We start from the raw sequence: 16146 nt of genomic DNA on the forward strand, positions 1-16146 counted from the left end.
TTAAGAAGAATTCTAATGCTATGACTGAGTCTGTAAAGAAGCTTGGCACAGGCTAGAGGAACAGGGCAAGTCCTGCTATGTCAGAGGGAGTACGCTGGCTGCAGGAGCCCTGGGCTTAGAATCAGCAGATGAGGTTTGAACCTCAGCCCTGTTACTTATAGGCTGGGTATCCTTAGAGAAGCCTCAGCTTAGCCCAGGTTTCCACATCTGTGAAATGGGAATTATAGCAGTACTTGTTTGTGGGCTTGTTGCGTGGGTAAATGAGACTCATTAATTTACTCAGTAATGATTTGTTAAATATAGTACCTACAGACACTGGATATTTTAGACACTGGATATACAGCAGTAAGCAAAACAAAAGCCTCTGCCTCATGGAATTTATGTTCTAAAAATATACGTAATGGAATTTAATAAAGTGTTTATCAGTCACATTAGTTTGAGCCTCTCTGATGAACTCACACTGTGGTTTTTGCTGTTATTTGTCTATAGGTGTTACAACAGTAAGTAATTAGGGCTATTATTGGGTCTCATGTTTGAATTGGTATAACCCTAGGGAAGTCCCAGTAAGTAGGACATTTGTGTGTGCCTGCTAAATTGCAGTACGCTTAGAAAGTCTGTTCCCCTTGAACCGGATTTCTGTCATTTTTGCCCCCATGAAGGGCTTGTTTCAAATAGTTCAGCAGTCCGCTGAGATTCAGGAGTGGCAAGTGGTGGTGTGGCTGAACTGGTTTCTCTCTGTCATTGGTGTTTGCACTATTTGTGATGTATGATTTCACAGAGTTGTGAAGGTGCTTGTGTCATTTGTGGAAATAAGTCAAAGGGCTAACACAACCAATTAAAATCCACAAGCCACGTTTCAGTGAGTAATTTCAACCTTTCCTCTCCAAACTTTTGATTAGCTACCCGTCAAGGAACAAAATGAACAAATTGAAGGTTTCAGTTCGTTTTTTTCATTGCCTTCCCTCTGGGGCTTTTTCTTTGAGTATCGTAATGCCCAAATTCCACGAAAGGAGAAAGGGCAAGCCCAGGCAGCAAACCTCAGAGGAACCGCATTCTGCTGGTAATTGCATGCCGTCTCCCAAGAGGTGTATCTGTATTCACCTCCATCGGCTATCACCTTCTTCATGCAGTACTTCAGATCTCCAGTGGCACACAGCCCATCTAGTTAAAAATGCAAACAGGAGATTATTTTCTCACCGAATGGCCTTTGTGGCCCAGAAGAAAAAAAACATGGTCATTTCTGCTGAGACGTAACCTGAAAAACACTCCCACAAGAGTGGAAGCTGAAGGCTCGCTATAAGCTAGCCCTGCCTCAGAACAAGGCTGGTGATAGCACGTGGGTGTGGGAACTCATGTGCGTGGGCTCAGGGCATTTGTCGCCAATGTACATGATCGAAGAAGCTTCTATCACCTGAAAAGCAGTTGTTCTGCAGGGCAAAGCCTGTTTATACTCCGAGGAATTACAGAACAGACGTTTACTTGGACGTGGAGATTTGGTCTGGAGGAATGTGACATGGCCCTGACAGCACATCCCTGGGTTTCGGTGCTCCTCTGCTCTGCCCAGCTTTCCGTCATCTGGCCTCCCATGACCTCCTGTGCTCCCATTGTGGTTTCCCTGTGTGCTGACAAGTTTTCTGGTTGTTATGTCTTGCAGCCCCCCGAATCCAAGCCCAACTTCACCCCTCTCGCCATCTTGGCCCATGTTCTCGGCGCCATCCAGCCCTATGCCCACCTCATCCACGTCCAGCGACTCATCCCCCGTCAGGTCTGTTGCAGGGTTTGTTTGGTTTTCTGTTGCTGCCGTTGTTCTCTCATTGGCTCGGTCCTCTCTTCATGCAGTGTTCAGCCTCCTCGTCAACTTTGTTCCCTGCCATCCAAACCTGCACTTGCTTTTTGACAGGCCAGAAGAAGCGGTACATGAAGACTCCAGGTAAAATCTCGGATGATGACCAATCTGTTCCCGTTTATCCAAAGCTGGCCAGGGACAACAGGGGGCTGCCCCTGCTCTCCTGTGGTTCCATCCTAAGAGACCAGAGCTAAAAGGGACCATTTGCATGAATCAGCATGGCATTTTTCACACCCTTTTCAACCCTGACTCAAGTTTCTGAATTAACCTCTCTGGTGCCTAGAGTTAGGGGAAGGAGCACCTCCTGAACCAGACTCTGGTTTTGATGGCTCTCTCAATTTCATGTGCTCTCTGCACTTTGGTGTAAGATAACATAAGAGGAAACAGTGTTGGGACATGTGCCAACCTTTTCTTTTCTCATGTTTATCAGGCAGCGTCAGGCAATATTTATTTGTGGGGTTGGGCCCCTGGCCCTAAGCACTGACACCCAGTCACTTAGACCAGATCCACTGGGGGAGAGACGTCGAACATAGAATAAAAGCTTGAGAGACGAAGCGATTTCTCTTAAATTGCTCACGGCTTATGCCTCGTTGTCCCCCATATACTCCCGAAACCATCCATGCTCCCAGCCTGCTTCTGTCTCTGTGTGTCATGAAGCCTGAGCTGTCCTGGGAACAGGCACTACCTCTCTCTGAGGGAGAGCAGCTTGACCTAGTTCCTCTTCTCAGGGCCATGCTGTAGTTTTCCCTGCTTTTGTGACTTCCGCACTTAAGTTTTTTGCTCTTGTGCTCTTTGGGAAAAAAAAAGAGCTCTTTACAACCGGGAAAAGAACGAATAGGGATCCTGCAGAATTCCTATGCTGTGGAGCTCCTAAACGTGCTTCTCTCTCAAGCTTAGTCTCAGCTTTCAGACAACCAAATTGTAGAGCCCAGTTATAAGCATCAGAAGCGTTTTGGGCTTTGGGAGTATTTTCCCTTCTGTCTTTTTCTCCAAAGGGTGGATCCAGCAGAGAGGCTTAAATAATTTATGAAGCCGAGTTTCACTTTTAGAAGAAAAGAAAACCCCATGCTATTTATATATATACAGATACATATATTACTTTATTCCCCACTAGGCACTTACACATCTATCATTTCATTCTATCCTCGTGTGAGAATGAGAAGAGAAATGGCCTGAACCCTACTGTGGAAAAAGAAAACTAAAACACAGGGAGGTGACTTGGACACAATGCTATGACTAAATGAGAGCCAATCCAGAATTCAGGACTTCTCCCCCTCAGCTCAGCACTCTTTCCTCCAAACACGTGGGTAACCCCAACTTTGAGTTTCCGTGCAGCTCCCAGCCCAGAGCCTGACTTGCTCTTTTAGGTTTTATACAGCTTTCTACCTGGCTTTGTCCTGGATGATGGGAAGGAGATTTTCAGTAATTCTTTTTTTTCTCACTCTATAAATAAGGGAAATTTTCAGATCATGTCTTCCTGACATTCTAGTGATTTCCTAATCATTTCTTGGACATCTTCTGGGCACTTTGGGAGACATCAACTTTCTAAGATACCAGAAATAGCATAGATTATTCTCATTAGATCATGAGGACCTGAACCAGAGGAAACTAAGTGACCACAGACAAGTCAGCTTCCAAAATGCCTCACTTACTCATTAGAGAAACTTGGGCTTTAGGAAAATGTAATTCCTTCATTTTTATCAAAATGGAGTAAAAATCTTCAAAATATTGGCCCTTTGGACAAAATGGGTTAAGAGACTCAAGAGAGTGAAATCACTCAGCTAAAATCCTAAAATGTCCTCTCTGCCTTGATGGTACTCACTTTTTTGTGACTCTGAGATTTGGGGCCCTGTTTCTTGTCAAGTATCTCTACCTCTTCACTCGTTTTCATCTCCCCAAATATTTCCAGACTGTTTTTCCTTCCTACTTCTTCCTACCTCCCAAAGTATTTCCAGATTGACAGAGGGCAATGGCAATAGAATCTGCCATTCTGTTGCCATCTTGTGTGTCTGGGGTCACAGTTACTCAGTACCTCCTCCCCTGGCCATTGTTAGAATAGCACTATTTGGACACCCTTTAGGAAGCTGCCCTCTTGAAATAGTCAAGGCAGGCCGGGCACAGTGGTTCACAGCTGTAATCCCAGCACTTTGGGAGGCCAAGGTGGGGAGATCACCCGAGGTGAGGAGTTCAAGACCAGCCTGGACAACGTGACAAAACCCCATCTCTACTAAAAATACAAAAATTAGCCAGGCATGGTGGTGGGCGCCTGTAATCCCAGCTACTCAGGAGGCTAAGGCAGGAGGATTGCTTGAACCTGGGAGGCAAAGTTTGCAGTGAGCCAAGATCGTGCCATTGCATTCCAGTCTGGGTGACAGAGCTAGACTCCATCTCAAAAAAAAAAAAAATAGTCAAGGCAGAGTTGGACTAAATGTGTGTGCCCAGATGAGCACAGACAGCAACACTGCTGAGGAGCTAGCCCATCAGAGGAACAGAGAGGGCCGAAACCTGTACACTGTAGTGTATAGCAAAGAGGTGGTGGTATACACCCATTATTCAGGTCCACTGGGGCCTCCCTCAAATCCACTTCCAGAGCATGAAGCTTCAGATTTCCTTCCCTGAGCAAAGCCTTTATAAGTAAATATTGAATTAGATCTAATCAGTGGTCCCATGAACTTCTGAATGATGTCTCCTCTGGAAATTGCTTACTGTCTGAATTAGTCTGTTTTCATGCTGCTGATAAAAACATACCCGAGACTGGGAAGAAAAAGACGTTTAACGGACTTGCAGTTCCACGTGGCTGGGGAGGCCTCACAATCCTGGCAGAAGGCAAGGAGGAGGAAGTCACGTCTTTCATGGATGGCGGCAGGCAAAAAGAGAGTTTGTGCAGGGAAACTCCCGTTTTTTAAAATCATCAGATCTCGTGAGACCCATTCAGTATTATGAGAACAGTACAGGAAAGACCGTCCCCAGTGATTCAATCATCTCCCACCGAGTCTCTCCCACAACACGGGAATGATGGGAGCTACAAGATGAGATTCAGGTGGGGACACAGAGCCAAACCATATCACTGTCCCCTCTTCAAACCATTTATAGACCTTGTTTGTTCAAAGTCAGGAATGAAGATGCCTTTTGCAGCACAGTAGAGAAAGGGTGCTGGAGACACATTCCCTCCGTATTTCCCTTTTCTTTCACTTGCTCACCCCTCCCCCAAAAAAGCCGATAGCCCCAAACCCGTAACTTGCATTTGCCCAGGGGTCCCTGGAAATTATGCCTAAATGATCAACCCCTTTCCACCTGCCAGTCTAGCTGGTCCCACCTCCCTGTAGTGCCATATGATGGCGAATGGGTCATCATTTTGCAAGGTTTGCAAGGGCATTTGAGGGAAACTCCTGTGAGTGCTTTCCAGGCCTTGTGCCATGCTCAGAGGTGAAAATTAAAAGGGAACTAGCAGGAGGATCCCAACTTGTTCATGCCCTTAAAGGCCCAGCTGAGGTCTGAAGGGCACTGTTGACAGGAGCAGCCGAAAACTACCCCAGGCCCTCTGTATCCAGTTTTGAGATATACTGTGGAGAATAGGAAGCCAAAGAACCAATGATGCCTGGTGGAGATTTTTTATTTTATTTTTTTATCAGAGCCAAAGCCTACAAATACAATCTCTCTGCCAACAGGATTTGTCTGTTTTGGTAGGAACCCTACCTAAAGCAAACTGCTTAAGACCTTTCAGAAGGAGTTATGGGACACTTGACTTGTTGGGCTGACAAGCTTTTAAGAAGATAAGACTTTTTGGGTAGGGTTGCCAGATTTAGCAAATAAAATAAAAATACAGCAGACCCAGTTAAATTTGGATGGTAGATAAACAACAAAAATTTTTTCATATATGTATGTCCCATGCAATATTTGGGACATAACGTATACTAAAGAAATATTTATTGTTTATTCTGCCATCCAAATCTAACTAGGTGTCCTGTATTTTATCTGGCAACCCTACCCATTCCTATTCCTTGGGCAACAGGAATGGCCCCCTTTAAAAGCACCTCTTCTGTCATTTCTCCCATTTTTGTGCCTATCCTAAAGCAGTAGAGGGAGATCTCAAGGGAAAAGCCCTCCCATAGACTGTCAGTTGCCTATCAACTTGAGAAAAAAACAAGGCCCTTTCTTGGCTTGCTTATTTATTTATTTACCTACTTACTTTTTTTTTTTTTTTGAGCCAGGGTCTCACTTGACTAGAGTGCAGTGGTGCAATCTCAGCTCACTGCGGCTCCCACCTCCTGGGCTCAAGCAATCCTCCTGCCTCAGCCTCCCAAGTAACCTGGACTCCACACGTGTCCCATCATGCCTGGCTAATTTTTTTTATTTTTTTGTAGAGATGGAGGTCTCTACAGTCTGGTCTTAAATTCCTGGGCTCAAGCAATCCTCCCACCTCCCAAAGTGCTAGGATTACAGGCATGTGCCACAGTGCCTAGTTTGTTATTTTTTAACGTACTATGTTATTGCCACTTCATTATTCAATTTCACAAACCTAATATCAATGGAATGTTACTCCTTTTGAATGATAATCTTGGGCACCTGGACCACTCCCTTTTATTTCTGGCTGCCAAATACCCCTGCTGGTTTTCCAGCTTGCCCCTGTTTTGTCCCATTATCCTTGTTTAGTGAGGTTAATAAATAATGTTTGTGAAAATCCAGTCAGAGGAGCCTTTCCTCAGATGCTGTTTCCCTTACTTTTAGTCCCCCTTCCCTGGTCTCTTTGCTTTTTACCCACCTGCTCTGCCCTGTCCTCAAGAGGCAGAAATACTGCCTCAAAACCTGGTCTCTGAGACCCTGGCTAATGTGAACTGGATTCTCCTTTCACCTTCAATGTCAGTGTCATAACAGGCTCCATTTGCCTGTCAGTATAGTCTTTTATCTGTTTTAGCACTTTTCACAGCCAAGTCACTCCTCCTGTCTGCTTCCCAGCCTCTCAAGAAAAAAAAAAAAAAAAAATGCCTCTTATATTCCTCCCTGGAAAGTTGCACATAGGATGTTTGGTCCTTGCTGGCCAATACATAGACTCGGTTTCTTTGGCTCACAGGCAGTGCCCCTTGTCCTGAACTTTATTCTGTCATCATAATTAGCCAGGAAGAGCTGTTTTCCTGTTGGAGCTGGTGAATACTAAGGACTCTTCTTTCCTTTGTTCCCAGGGGTCCCACTTCATTTTCCCCCACTTTCCCAATGTTTTCCCACCTGGCCATCATCTCTTGGCTCCTAGAAAACCAGAGGGAACAACAGTAAACTATGGCCCAGCAATAAATTCGAGATAACCATTTACTCTGATCACTCTGCACGATGGAGACCATGTGGCTCACAAAGCCTGAAATATTTACCACCCGGCCCTTTGCAGAGAAAGTTTGCCACCTTCTGCTCTAGAACAGTGGTTCTCAACCCTCACTGCACGTTGGAATTACTTGGAGAGCTTTTTTAAAATACTGATGCCTGGCCGGGCGCGGTGGCTCACGCCTGTAATCCCAGCACTTTGGGAGGCTGAGGCAGGCGGATCACGAGGTCAGGAGATTGAGACCATCCTGGCTAACACGGTGAAACCCTGTCTCTACTAAAAATACAATAAATTAGCCAGGCTTGGTAGCAGGCGCCTGTAGTCCCAGCTACTCGGGAGGCTGAGGCAGGAGAATGGCGTGAACCCAGGAGGCGGAGCTTGCAGTGAGCCGAGATCGCACCACTGCACTCCAGCCTGGGCGACAGAGCAAGACTCCGTCTAAACAAACAAACAAAAACTACTGATGCCTGTATAATATCTGCATATCTGGGTAGAACCTAGACATCTGCATTTTCTAAATGCTCCCCAGGTGTTTCGGATGCACAGTGAGAGTGATTGTAAACATTCAACGGACATGAGAAAAGCAAAAACAAACCAAAAAAAATGCCTCATGTCCCCTCTCCCTTCTTCCTCCTCCCCACACTCCCCATACAGGTGCACGTGTGTGCTCATGCACACACATGTGTAATTGCCCTCATGCACCTTGTCTATTCCCTCCCCTGGGGGTTGGAGAGCTCCAGCTCTGGAATCCTGTCTCACCAGCAAGACCCAGTCTAGTAAGAAATCAGGAACATCTGGGAGAGCTCATGTCCGCCCGTGGCCTGGAACTGAAACTTGGCTTTGCTGGAATTTCTTCTTTTTGACTCACTGAGCATTGCCAGCTTTCAACAGGTTCTGTTGGGAGTGTGTTCCCCAGAGCAGCTTGGAACTTCTTTCCTGCCCCTGCTTCCCTCCCTTCCCCCAAGGCACTCCTGCTCCAAAAATGGGGCCCAGCCTGCCCTCCCGCTGTTTGGCTGTTGTAACTCCCAGGTAAAGTTTTAACATGGCACAAGGTGACCCCACAAAAAGTGTAGTTTCTTGAAGCTTATGGCTTTTCTCTGAATATTTCTCATTTTTCTCCTGTGATCTTTGCAGCTTTCCCACCTCATGTCTTGCCATCTGGCTGCCTTGCCAGGCACTTCCCACGAGAGGGGACTAGGTAGCTTACAGGGAAAGGGAAGAAGAGAGATGAAATGTCTGGGGCTTTCTAAGGGTTTTTTCAAAAATGTTAAATAAACTCCTGTTTTCACACAGCACACCGTTCCGGAAGGCAAAAGCCTTGTATGCCTGCAAAGCTGAACATGACTCAGAACTTTCGTTCACAGCAGGCACGGTCTTCGATAACGGTGAGTTTCTCATCCCCTCACAAAGATATGGGCGGGGGGCGGGGGCAAGGGGAGCACATAAATAACTGGCATTTTCAAAGCTCCTCCCGAGGGAAAATCTCAATACAATGGGTAAGAAAAAAAGTGTGTGTGCGTCTGTGTGTGTTGGTTTCTGTGTCTTTTCCCAAAATAAAATAGCAGCAGCAGGACTTCCGGAGACATTGTGAAGAGTGGACTAGTGTAATCAGCTCCATGTTGAGTTGTTACCACTGTAAATGAGATTGTGCCTGCAAAAGACCCAGCCCAGGACCTGGAAGTGGCTTTAAGAGATCATACACATCACATGTTTAAAATGGTACTCAACATGTATTAAGCATTCACTAAATTAATATTTTTATTATTAAAACCATCATCATCATTGTATCCATCTTCGAAAAAGGCCCTGATGCTCTCATAGTTCACAGTGACAGTTTTTCCTCACTTTTGTCTGGGCAGTGGGTGCTGCACCTGATTCCGTGGGTCCTGGCTGCATCTGTAAACACATTCCAGGCCAGAGCAGAGATGAGTTCCTGGGGACCAGCCCTTGACTGTAGTCACGTCCACAGGGGCTGCCATTGTGTGTGCCCAGCCCCTGCATTCAGCATAGCAGAGATATCCATCAGGTACAGGTAGACAAAAGGGGGAACAAGGCACAGAACATGAGGGTCTCTCCCAGGTCACACTCAACCCTTGGCCTTCTGGGTCAGCAGGAGTGGGAGGGATTACCCCAGAACTGCATGTGGGCGTCTGAGTCTGCATTCCCTTTTATCGTTCTCAAAGCCTCAAGCACTGTCCTTAAGCCTTTGCTCCATTAACTTTCATCTAGGCCCTTTATAAATCAAAATGCACGAACAGCCAGCCCAGCCACCTCTCCTGTCCACAGCTGGTGCTTGCAGGCCCCAGCAGACTGCAGGTGCAGTGGGTCTGCTGAAGGCTGTCCAAAGCCATTTCACTGGTGAGTGTCCCCCACACAGGCCCAGGCGGCGGAGTCCTGGCCCTGCCGTAACATGACACGGCCCTTGCAGAAGACAAACCAGAATGGGCTGCGTTGCTTGGGCTTCTGCCCCCCTGCTTTGTCAGCAAGGAAGGGGCTTCTGCCTATAGAAGAGCAGGATTTGAGAGATTCCTACATTGACAGGTGAATCCAGGGCTTAAAGGTCTGTCCTCTAAGTCCCAATTCACTGCTCATATGGGCAGGGGATCATCATGTTTCTAACAACCATTCCCTCTGACAACACAAAGGACTCCTGATCTCAGGGGCAGAATTGTTTTAAACTATCAAAAGTTATGTATATGCTTCTGTCTTCTTTTTGATTCCTTTTGGTGAGTGCAGCCTTCTTCCATTTTTTAACGGTTTATTAAGATAGCCATACAACATACAATTTACCCATTTAAAATGTACAATTCAATGGTTTTTAGTATATTCAGAGTTGTGCAACCATTGCCACTATATAATTCCAGAATATTTTCATCACCCCCAAAAGAAACCCCATACCTTTTAGCAGTCATGCCCCACTTACCACAACCCATTTCCATCCAGCCCAAGGCAACCACTCTTCTACTTTGTCTCTCTAGATTTGCCTGCTCCGGACATTTCATACAAATGGAATTATATAGTATGTGATCTTTGAAACTGGATTCTTTAGTTTGCATAATGTTTTCAAGGTTCATCCACATTGTAGCATGTCAGAACCTTCTTCCTTTTTATGTGCGATGGTATGGATATAGCACATTTTATGTAAGCTTATTCATCAGTAGATGGGCACGTTGTTTCCTCTTTTTGGCTGCTTGAATAATGCTGCTGTGAACATGTGTGTAGGTTTTTGTGAGGGCGTAGGTTTCCAGTTCTCTTGGGGATATACCTAGGAGTGGGATTGCAGGGTCATATTAATTCCGTGTTTAAGTGTTTGAGGAAATGCCGAACTGTTTCACAAAGAAGTTGCACCATTTTACCATTTTATGTTCCTACCTTCTTTCATTTTTAAGTCTTTCTGCAGTAGCTTAAATAGTTAAGCATAAAGGGGGAAAAAGGAAGAGAAGCCTGGATGATTGTTAACTGCCAAGTCCTTTTTTTCCCCAGCAGAGTGTCCTTCAGCTTCCACAGCCATCTTCACTGCCACACCGAAGCTCCGGGCACCTCCACCTCTCACCTGGGCACTTCCACTGGCCGCCTGACACATCTTCTCACATCTGCTCTTGCTGCCATAACCCCCTCTTTACAGAGCAGCGAGAGTGATCTTTGAAAAACGGAAATGGCATTAAAGCCCTTCAGTGGCCTCCCATTGCTCTGAGAATTACTTACAAGGCCCTCCAGGGCCCAGTTCCTGCCCCTCTGACCTCACGCCCTCACTTGACATACTACAGCCTCATGCCTTCTTCATGTTCTCAAGCAAGGTCGGCAAACTATGACCTGCCCGTCAAATCCAACCTGCCACCTGTCACCTAACAATTCTGTAACTGCTCCCACATACAACATGGTCGTCATCATAAATCCTATAGGTATTGTTGAGAGCAGGAGGAAAGTTTGGTTGAGTGAGTGAGAGACCTTACCCAAGCCTTCCTGTGGTCTCTAGGAGTCATGGCAGAGTTCGCTGACACTGGTCTGCTTTTAACCAGCCTTGCCAGTGACCTTTCAAATTCCCTGAGGAGCAAAAGGCCAAATTGAACCTGAAAGAAAACACCTCTCAGTGTTGACTGAGTTGCAGTAGAAAATGGACCTGACAAAACGTTAGTACACTTTCTCAATTGGGTTAGCTCAAAATATGTTATTAGGTCTTTTTTCCAGAGGAAAATGCTTACACAGACCCTCTTCCTCCCCACTCCTTCACCTCTACAGGAGAAAATGAGGCATTACAGAACACTATTATTCTGTCAGGCGGTGGGTGGGGTGGGGGGTCTTTTTCCTTGTTCCATTTCTTGTTAGTTTACTGCTGGGGATATGAGGTAAAGGCTGTTTAATTTGTATGCTGTGTAGTTGTCAGATTAAATGATCAAACCAATCAGAAAGTGCACGTGTGTGTGTGTATGTGTGTCTTTTTGTGTGTTTCAGGATTAAGAAGAATGAATAAGGAAGAGGAAAAGGGAGGGGCCCGTGGAGGGGAAAGTCTGTTGTTTCGTAATGATTAATCTTGAAGCCTTTGGATTCCAGGGGCCCCTACTGTGACTCTGGAGTGGCTGCTGCTGTCAGCTCATGGGCTTTGTGCAGTGGGAAATGGATGTGCAATACGTGCAATACCTAGAAATAATTCCAGTGTCATCCCTGGCCAATCTACTGGGAAACTGTCCATTTCAACAAGAGCACCTCAGACAGTAACTGGAAAGAGAAATAGCTCATATTCTCAGGAACGTTAGTCATCTTGAAGCAGCATGATTCGTGATACCTGGAAAATGCACATGGCAGTCACTAAAATTGGGTTCTAGGGATACTTTTAATAAGATTTGAGAGGAGCTGGATCCATTCATTCCCATGGTACCTAACACAGCACCACTACACAGCAGGCCTGTCCCAAATTTCCTTTGCTGCTGGAGAACATCCTCATGGGGGAGCCCCCAAGCTGCCTAGGAAATGGGTTAACAGGAGGGCACTCAGGGATCTCCTTCAGTTTCTCCAGCCATCTTCGCTGCCACGCCCAAGCCCAGGCCACCTTCACCTCTCACCTGGGCGCTTCCACTGGCCGCCTGACACATCTTGTCACTGGCTTCCACTCTTGCTCCCAGAACCCCTTCTTCACATAGCAGCAAGAGTCATCTTTGAAAATGAAAATCACATCATGTTATTTCCTGCTTAAAATCTATCAGTGGCCTCCCACTGCTCTGAGAATGACTTACAAGGCCCCTAGGGCCTAGTTCCTACCCCTCTGACCTCCTCTCACCCTCACTTGACATACTGCAGCTTTGCAGGCCTTCTTTATGTTCTCAAGTAAGGTCAGCAAACTATGACCTGCCAGTCAAATCCAACCCGCCACCTGTTTTTGTAAATAAAGCTTTACTGGAACACAGACACTCATGCCTTTGTGTCTGCGTGTTATCTGTGGCACTACAGTGGCAGAGTTAAGGAGAGAGACACTCTCACTATGAGGCCCTTTAAGAAATAGATGCACACCACTGTTCTAAAATCATGCCCAGCTTTTTCCCGTCACAGGGCCGTTGTACTTGCACTACCCACTGCTCTAGTCTTTCTCTCTCCTTTTACCACTACCTAAAATTATATGCTTGCTTATTGCTTGATTGTCCTGCCGAGCAAAATCTGGTCTGCTTGTTCTGTGCTATGTGCAAGGACCTAGCATGGTGTCTAGCACGTGGTAGGTGCTCAGTAAACATTTGTTAAATGAGTGAATGTACTTTAATTACCCAGGGGTCTGCACCTCTTTTAGTTAAGACTTCTTTTGGGGACAGTCAGCCATTAGAGACCTTAGTCACACACTTGCTCCCTGTCCATGGTGAGTGAAGGAGGGCAGAAGACATGAGTTGTGTACACAGGGATGTATGGTGTACATGGGTAGAGCCGAGAGAAAGTGGTTGGCAGGAAGCTCACCCATGTCCCCAGCAGCTTATATTTAGTATATGCTGTTGAGCTGAAGAGCCACTCAGGCAGCTTGTGGCAACACCTTTTGTGTTTGTATAGCATGTTGGACACTGGTGCAGTTCAGTGTTGCACATTGGCGCCATTCAGCCCAACAAGCACTTAGCATCTTTGATGTTCAGAGCATTGGGCTAGGCAACAGCAGTAGTAGTTAAGGTGACAGACTCTGGGATCAGATGTCTTGGTCTCTGATTCATTTTCATTGTCTACCAGCTATTAATATTTAATTTTGGCCAAGATGCTTAACTTTTCACAGCCACAGTTTTTCATCAGTAAAGTGAGGATAATAGCAGAACCAACTCCATAGTCATTCTGAAGATGAAAGGAGGAAACTCAGGTGTGAAGTGCGTATTCGCAAAGGGTCTGCCACCTGGCATGTGCTCAACATGTTATCATCCTTATCAGCATGGGTCACACCCTCTGGTTAAATAGAGGCCTGATACAGTGGGAAGGGAGTTGGTCTCTGGAGTCAAACAAGCTGGGTTCAAATTTTGGTTCCAGTATTATGACCATGCACAAATTATTTTACCTCTCTGAGCCTTAATTTTCTCATCTGCAAAATACAGATAATAATAATACAAGCTGGGATCCTGAGGATCAAATGAATCAACATGTCTAAAACTCCAAGCACACAGCAGCTTCATAACATATCTAAGTGTTAGCTTGTATCATTATAATTCACGAGGCAGAAGGGAGTTACTGAAGGTTGTGGAGCCAGGAAGTGCTATAATCCAAACCAAAACGCACTGAAAAACTAGATAGAGAAGCAAAGCTTAGCACGTTTGAACAGCATATAAATAGGACCCATGAATACTATGTGGAATGTACTATGAGCATTTTAGGTGTCTGGAGGAGGAGGGAGCAGGTAGAAGGGATTCCATGGTAGTATTTACAAAGGAAGTGGGGCTTCAGCTAAGCCTTTACATGGAAACAGAAGACAGCAGAAAGAAAGGGGGCACTGGTGCTGCCTCCCTCCTCTATTAGTAAATGACAATTTGCATTTTATCTCAGAGGCATTTGGGCACAGAAAAGTTATAGCTCCTAACTTCCTGTGAGCTAGTGAAAATACAGGTTCCTGTGTCCCATTCCCAGAGATTCTGCTTTAATTGATTTGCCATGGGGCCCAGGAATGTGCAGTTTGAATAAGCATCCTGAGGGTTCCGAAGCACATGGTCTGGCACATGCTTTCGTATAAATCCTGGCTTGAAGCCTCAGTGAGTCAGCAGTCCAACCCAAAGGCTGTGTTATCTCCTGCCATCTCCTGTGACCTACCTTTTGGCCTCCAGTTTGGAGGGCCTCTCTTGTCCCCTCTAATTCTTCCCTTAGCCCTCAAATTGCATTGTAAATGTTTTCACCCCAGTACCTGTGCTGTGGGTGAACAGCTAGCCAGGAAAAGGAGAAAGGTCTGAAGGAGATGGACTCAGTGCATCCAGTAGAGTAATAACTCAACTTGGAGCTTGGCTATAAAGCGGGAGGGCCTGGTTTTTGTTTTTTTGTTTTGTCAGTCTGGCTGCTTTATTCTTTCTACGTTTTTATTTTGGAGAATGGGTTTGATTTGTTAATTTTATTCTAAACATTTGATTTTTCCTGAAGCTTAGGTGGGTGGTAAGGGCCATCTGGTTTTACTAGGTCGCTACTAGGAGGGGGTCTTGCTGAGCAGTCCCGATCCAGGGTCTCCTACTGACTAGCCTGTACTGAGCATTTGCTCTGTGCCTGGCTCTGTGCCGAGTGCTTTATCCACACCAGCTCCTTTCATATTTGCAAGAACCCAGTAAAGGGAAGAGGGTCTTGTTGTCACCAGTATGAAGTGCAGAAACTGAAGTGATCTTGGAAGCTTTGGTTGGATGGATGGGCAGAGGGCAGGGGTATATGGGTGTTCTTTAAGAGTGGCATGGGAGAGCTTTGGTCATTGGAGAGGCCAGGTTGCTTTTAAGTTGTGTCTTCTTCCAAGGCACTTCTCTCCCAGACTGTCTCTTGTGTGGGTTGTCATGAACCCAAAGTATCCTTGCTGTTTATTCCTGAAGCTTAGTGATCTGAAATTGGCCAACTTTGGAGGCCAACTAATAGATGTTTAACCTTGTCTTTTCCTAAGGAGGCACTCAAGGTGTACCCAAAGTTGACTGACACTGATCTTCTGGAAGCCTCAAGGCTGATTCTTTTGCTGCCTCCCATTTGTCTCCTTTGGTTTCTGTTCTTGCGTCTTTCCCTACAAACTGAAACTAGAATTCTGTAGCAGTGTCGGAGCGGAAATGCTTTTCTAAAACAAGCTCAGGAAGTCATTTAATTAGCCCAGGAAGGGAATAGGGGAAAATCTATTCTCTCCAAATAATCTTGGAAAATTGGAGTTTTCCTAACACATTAAGAGTAAATGTCCTGCCTCACTGCAGAGTGATCTGTACATCTTCAGTTGACAAGCATGAACATCCCCCACCTCTTAGTCCCATGATTCCTTCTCTCTTCCTTCCTGCTATTGACTACTGTGCAGACTCAGCTGGATTTTAGATAATCTTTATAATATCACAATGGTTTCCATGGAGATGGATCATGATGTCACAAAAGTAGATATATATTCTTTGGATACTGAAAAATCAAAGGGCAATAGAGGGAGGAAGAGAAGAATTTTCAAACTGGTATATAGAGGAGGGGGAAATCTAGAGAACAGGAAAGAAAACTAAGAAAGGGTGTGAGTGAAACAGAGAAATGGCTATTCAAAGGCTATTCAAAATGACAGCAACCAAAAAAAAAAAAAAAAAAAACCCCAGAAAATTTGCAAGGAAATTAGAAGCAGGGGGTAAGGATTTGAAGGAAAGTAAGATGATGACAAGAAGCTGGATTGATTGATTGAGACAGGGTCTTGCTCTGTCGCCCAGGCTGGAGTGCAGTGGTGCAATCACGGCTCACTGCAGCCTCGACCTGCTGAGCCCAAGCGATCCTCCCGCTTCGGCACTCCCCCTCCTCCAAGTAGCTGGGACTACAGACACGCTCCATCAAACCTAGGTAG

The 16146-nt window shown here is 45.7% G+C and overlaps 1 protein-coding gene and 1 long non-coding RNA gene across 34 annotated transcripts in view, besides 8 other annotated features; one reads left to right on the plus strand and one right to left on the minus strand.

Moving 5' to 3' along the window:
• ARHGAP26 (Rho GTPase activating protein 26) overlaps positions 1-16146 on the plus strand; it is a 458635-nt gene that overhangs the window by 435167 nt on the left and 7322 nt on the right. For 5 of the 33 annotated variants that reach the window (XM_047416985.1, XM_047416966.1, XM_047416983.1 and 2 more), the window contains 3 exons: positions 1655-1930; positions 8454-8545; positions 10644-11285. In XM_047416985.1, the coding sequence (XP_047272941.1) occupies positions 1655-1930; positions 8454-8545; positions 10644-10738 (463 nt within the window). In that variant the 3' untranslated portion in view covers positions 10739-11285. Of the gene's footprint in view, positions 1-1654; positions 1931-2960; positions 3150-8453; positions 8546-10643; positions 11291-16146 lie in introns of those variants that run through there. The other 28 variants (XM_047416970.1, XM_047416969.1, XM_047416990.1 and 25 more) reach the window with 16 other exon arrangements.
• Positions 944-1053: an enhancer, noted in NCBI's record as "active region_23331". NCBI's record gives its function as "activates an Ori minimal core promoter by ATAC-STARR-seq in GM12878 lymphoblastoid cells {active_cell/tissue: GM12878}" and the evidence as "EXISTENCE:reporter gene assay evidence [ECO:0000049][PMID:35858748]".
• Positions 1474-1583: an enhancer, noted in NCBI's record as "active region_23332". NCBI's record gives its function as "activates an Ori minimal core promoter by ATAC-STARR-seq in GM12878 lymphoblastoid cells {active_cell/tissue: GM12878}" and the evidence as "EXISTENCE:reporter gene assay evidence [ECO:0000049][PMID:35858748]".
• Positions 1693-2192: an enhancer, noted in NCBI's record as "H3K4me1 hESC enhancer chr5:142586801-142587300 (GRCh37/hg19 assembly coordinates)". NCBI's record gives its function as "activates a minimal SCP1, AML or CMV promoter by ChIP-STARR-seq in primed H9 embryonic stem cells {active_cell/tissue: H9 hESC(primed)}" and the evidence as "EXISTENCE:reporter gene assay evidence [ECO:0000049][PMID:30033119]".
• Positions 8241-8290: an enhancer, noted in NCBI's record as "active region_23333". NCBI's record gives its function as "activates an Ori minimal core promoter by ATAC-STARR-seq in GM12878 lymphoblastoid cells {active_cell/tissue: GM12878}" and the evidence as "EXISTENCE:reporter gene assay evidence [ECO:0000049][PMID:35858748]".
• Positions 8870-9418: an enhancer, noted in NCBI's record as "H3K4me1 hESC enhancer chr5:142593978-142594526 (GRCh37/hg19 assembly coordinates)". NCBI's record gives its function as "activates a minimal SCP1, AML or CMV promoter by ChIP-STARR-seq in naive H9 embryonic stem cells {active_cell/tissue: H9 hESC(naive)}" and the evidence as "EXISTENCE:reporter gene assay evidence [ECO:0000049][PMID:30033119]".
• On the minus strand, positions 8894-15880 carry LOC124901099 (uncharacterized). Its single transcript, XR_007058981.1, has 2 exons — positions 12221-15880; positions 8894-9056 (listed from the first exon to the last, which is right to left on the minus strand). It is a non-coding gene; the product is annotated as an uncharacterized LOC124901099 (long non-coding RNA).
• Positions 9419-9967: an enhancer, noted in NCBI's record as "H3K4me1 hESC enhancer chr5:142594527-142595075 (GRCh37/hg19 assembly coordinates)". NCBI's record gives its function as "activates a minimal SCP1, AML or CMV promoter by ChIP-STARR-seq in naive H9 embryonic stem cells {active_cell/tissue: H9 hESC(naive)}" and the evidence as "EXISTENCE:reporter gene assay evidence [ECO:0000049][PMID:30033119]".
• Positions 11544-11643: a silencer, noted in NCBI's record as "silent region_16479". NCBI's record gives its function as "represses an Ori minimal core promoter by ATAC-STARR-seq in GM12878 lymphoblastoid cells {active_cell/tissue: GM12878}" and the evidence as "EXISTENCE:reporter gene assay evidence [ECO:0000049][PMID:35858748]".
• Positions 12184-12283: an enhancer, noted in NCBI's record as "active region_23334". NCBI's record gives its function as "activates an Ori minimal core promoter by ATAC-STARR-seq in GM12878 lymphoblastoid cells {active_cell/tissue: GM12878}" and the evidence as "EXISTENCE:reporter gene assay evidence [ECO:0000049][PMID:35858748]".

The sequence above is a fragment of the Homo sapiens genome, chromosome 5 (genome assembly GCF_000001405.40).
Source record: "Homo sapiens chromosome 5, GRCh38.p14 Primary Assembly".
Lineage (NCBI taxonomy): Eukaryota > Metazoa > Chordata > Mammalia > Primates > Hominidae > Homo > Homo sapiens.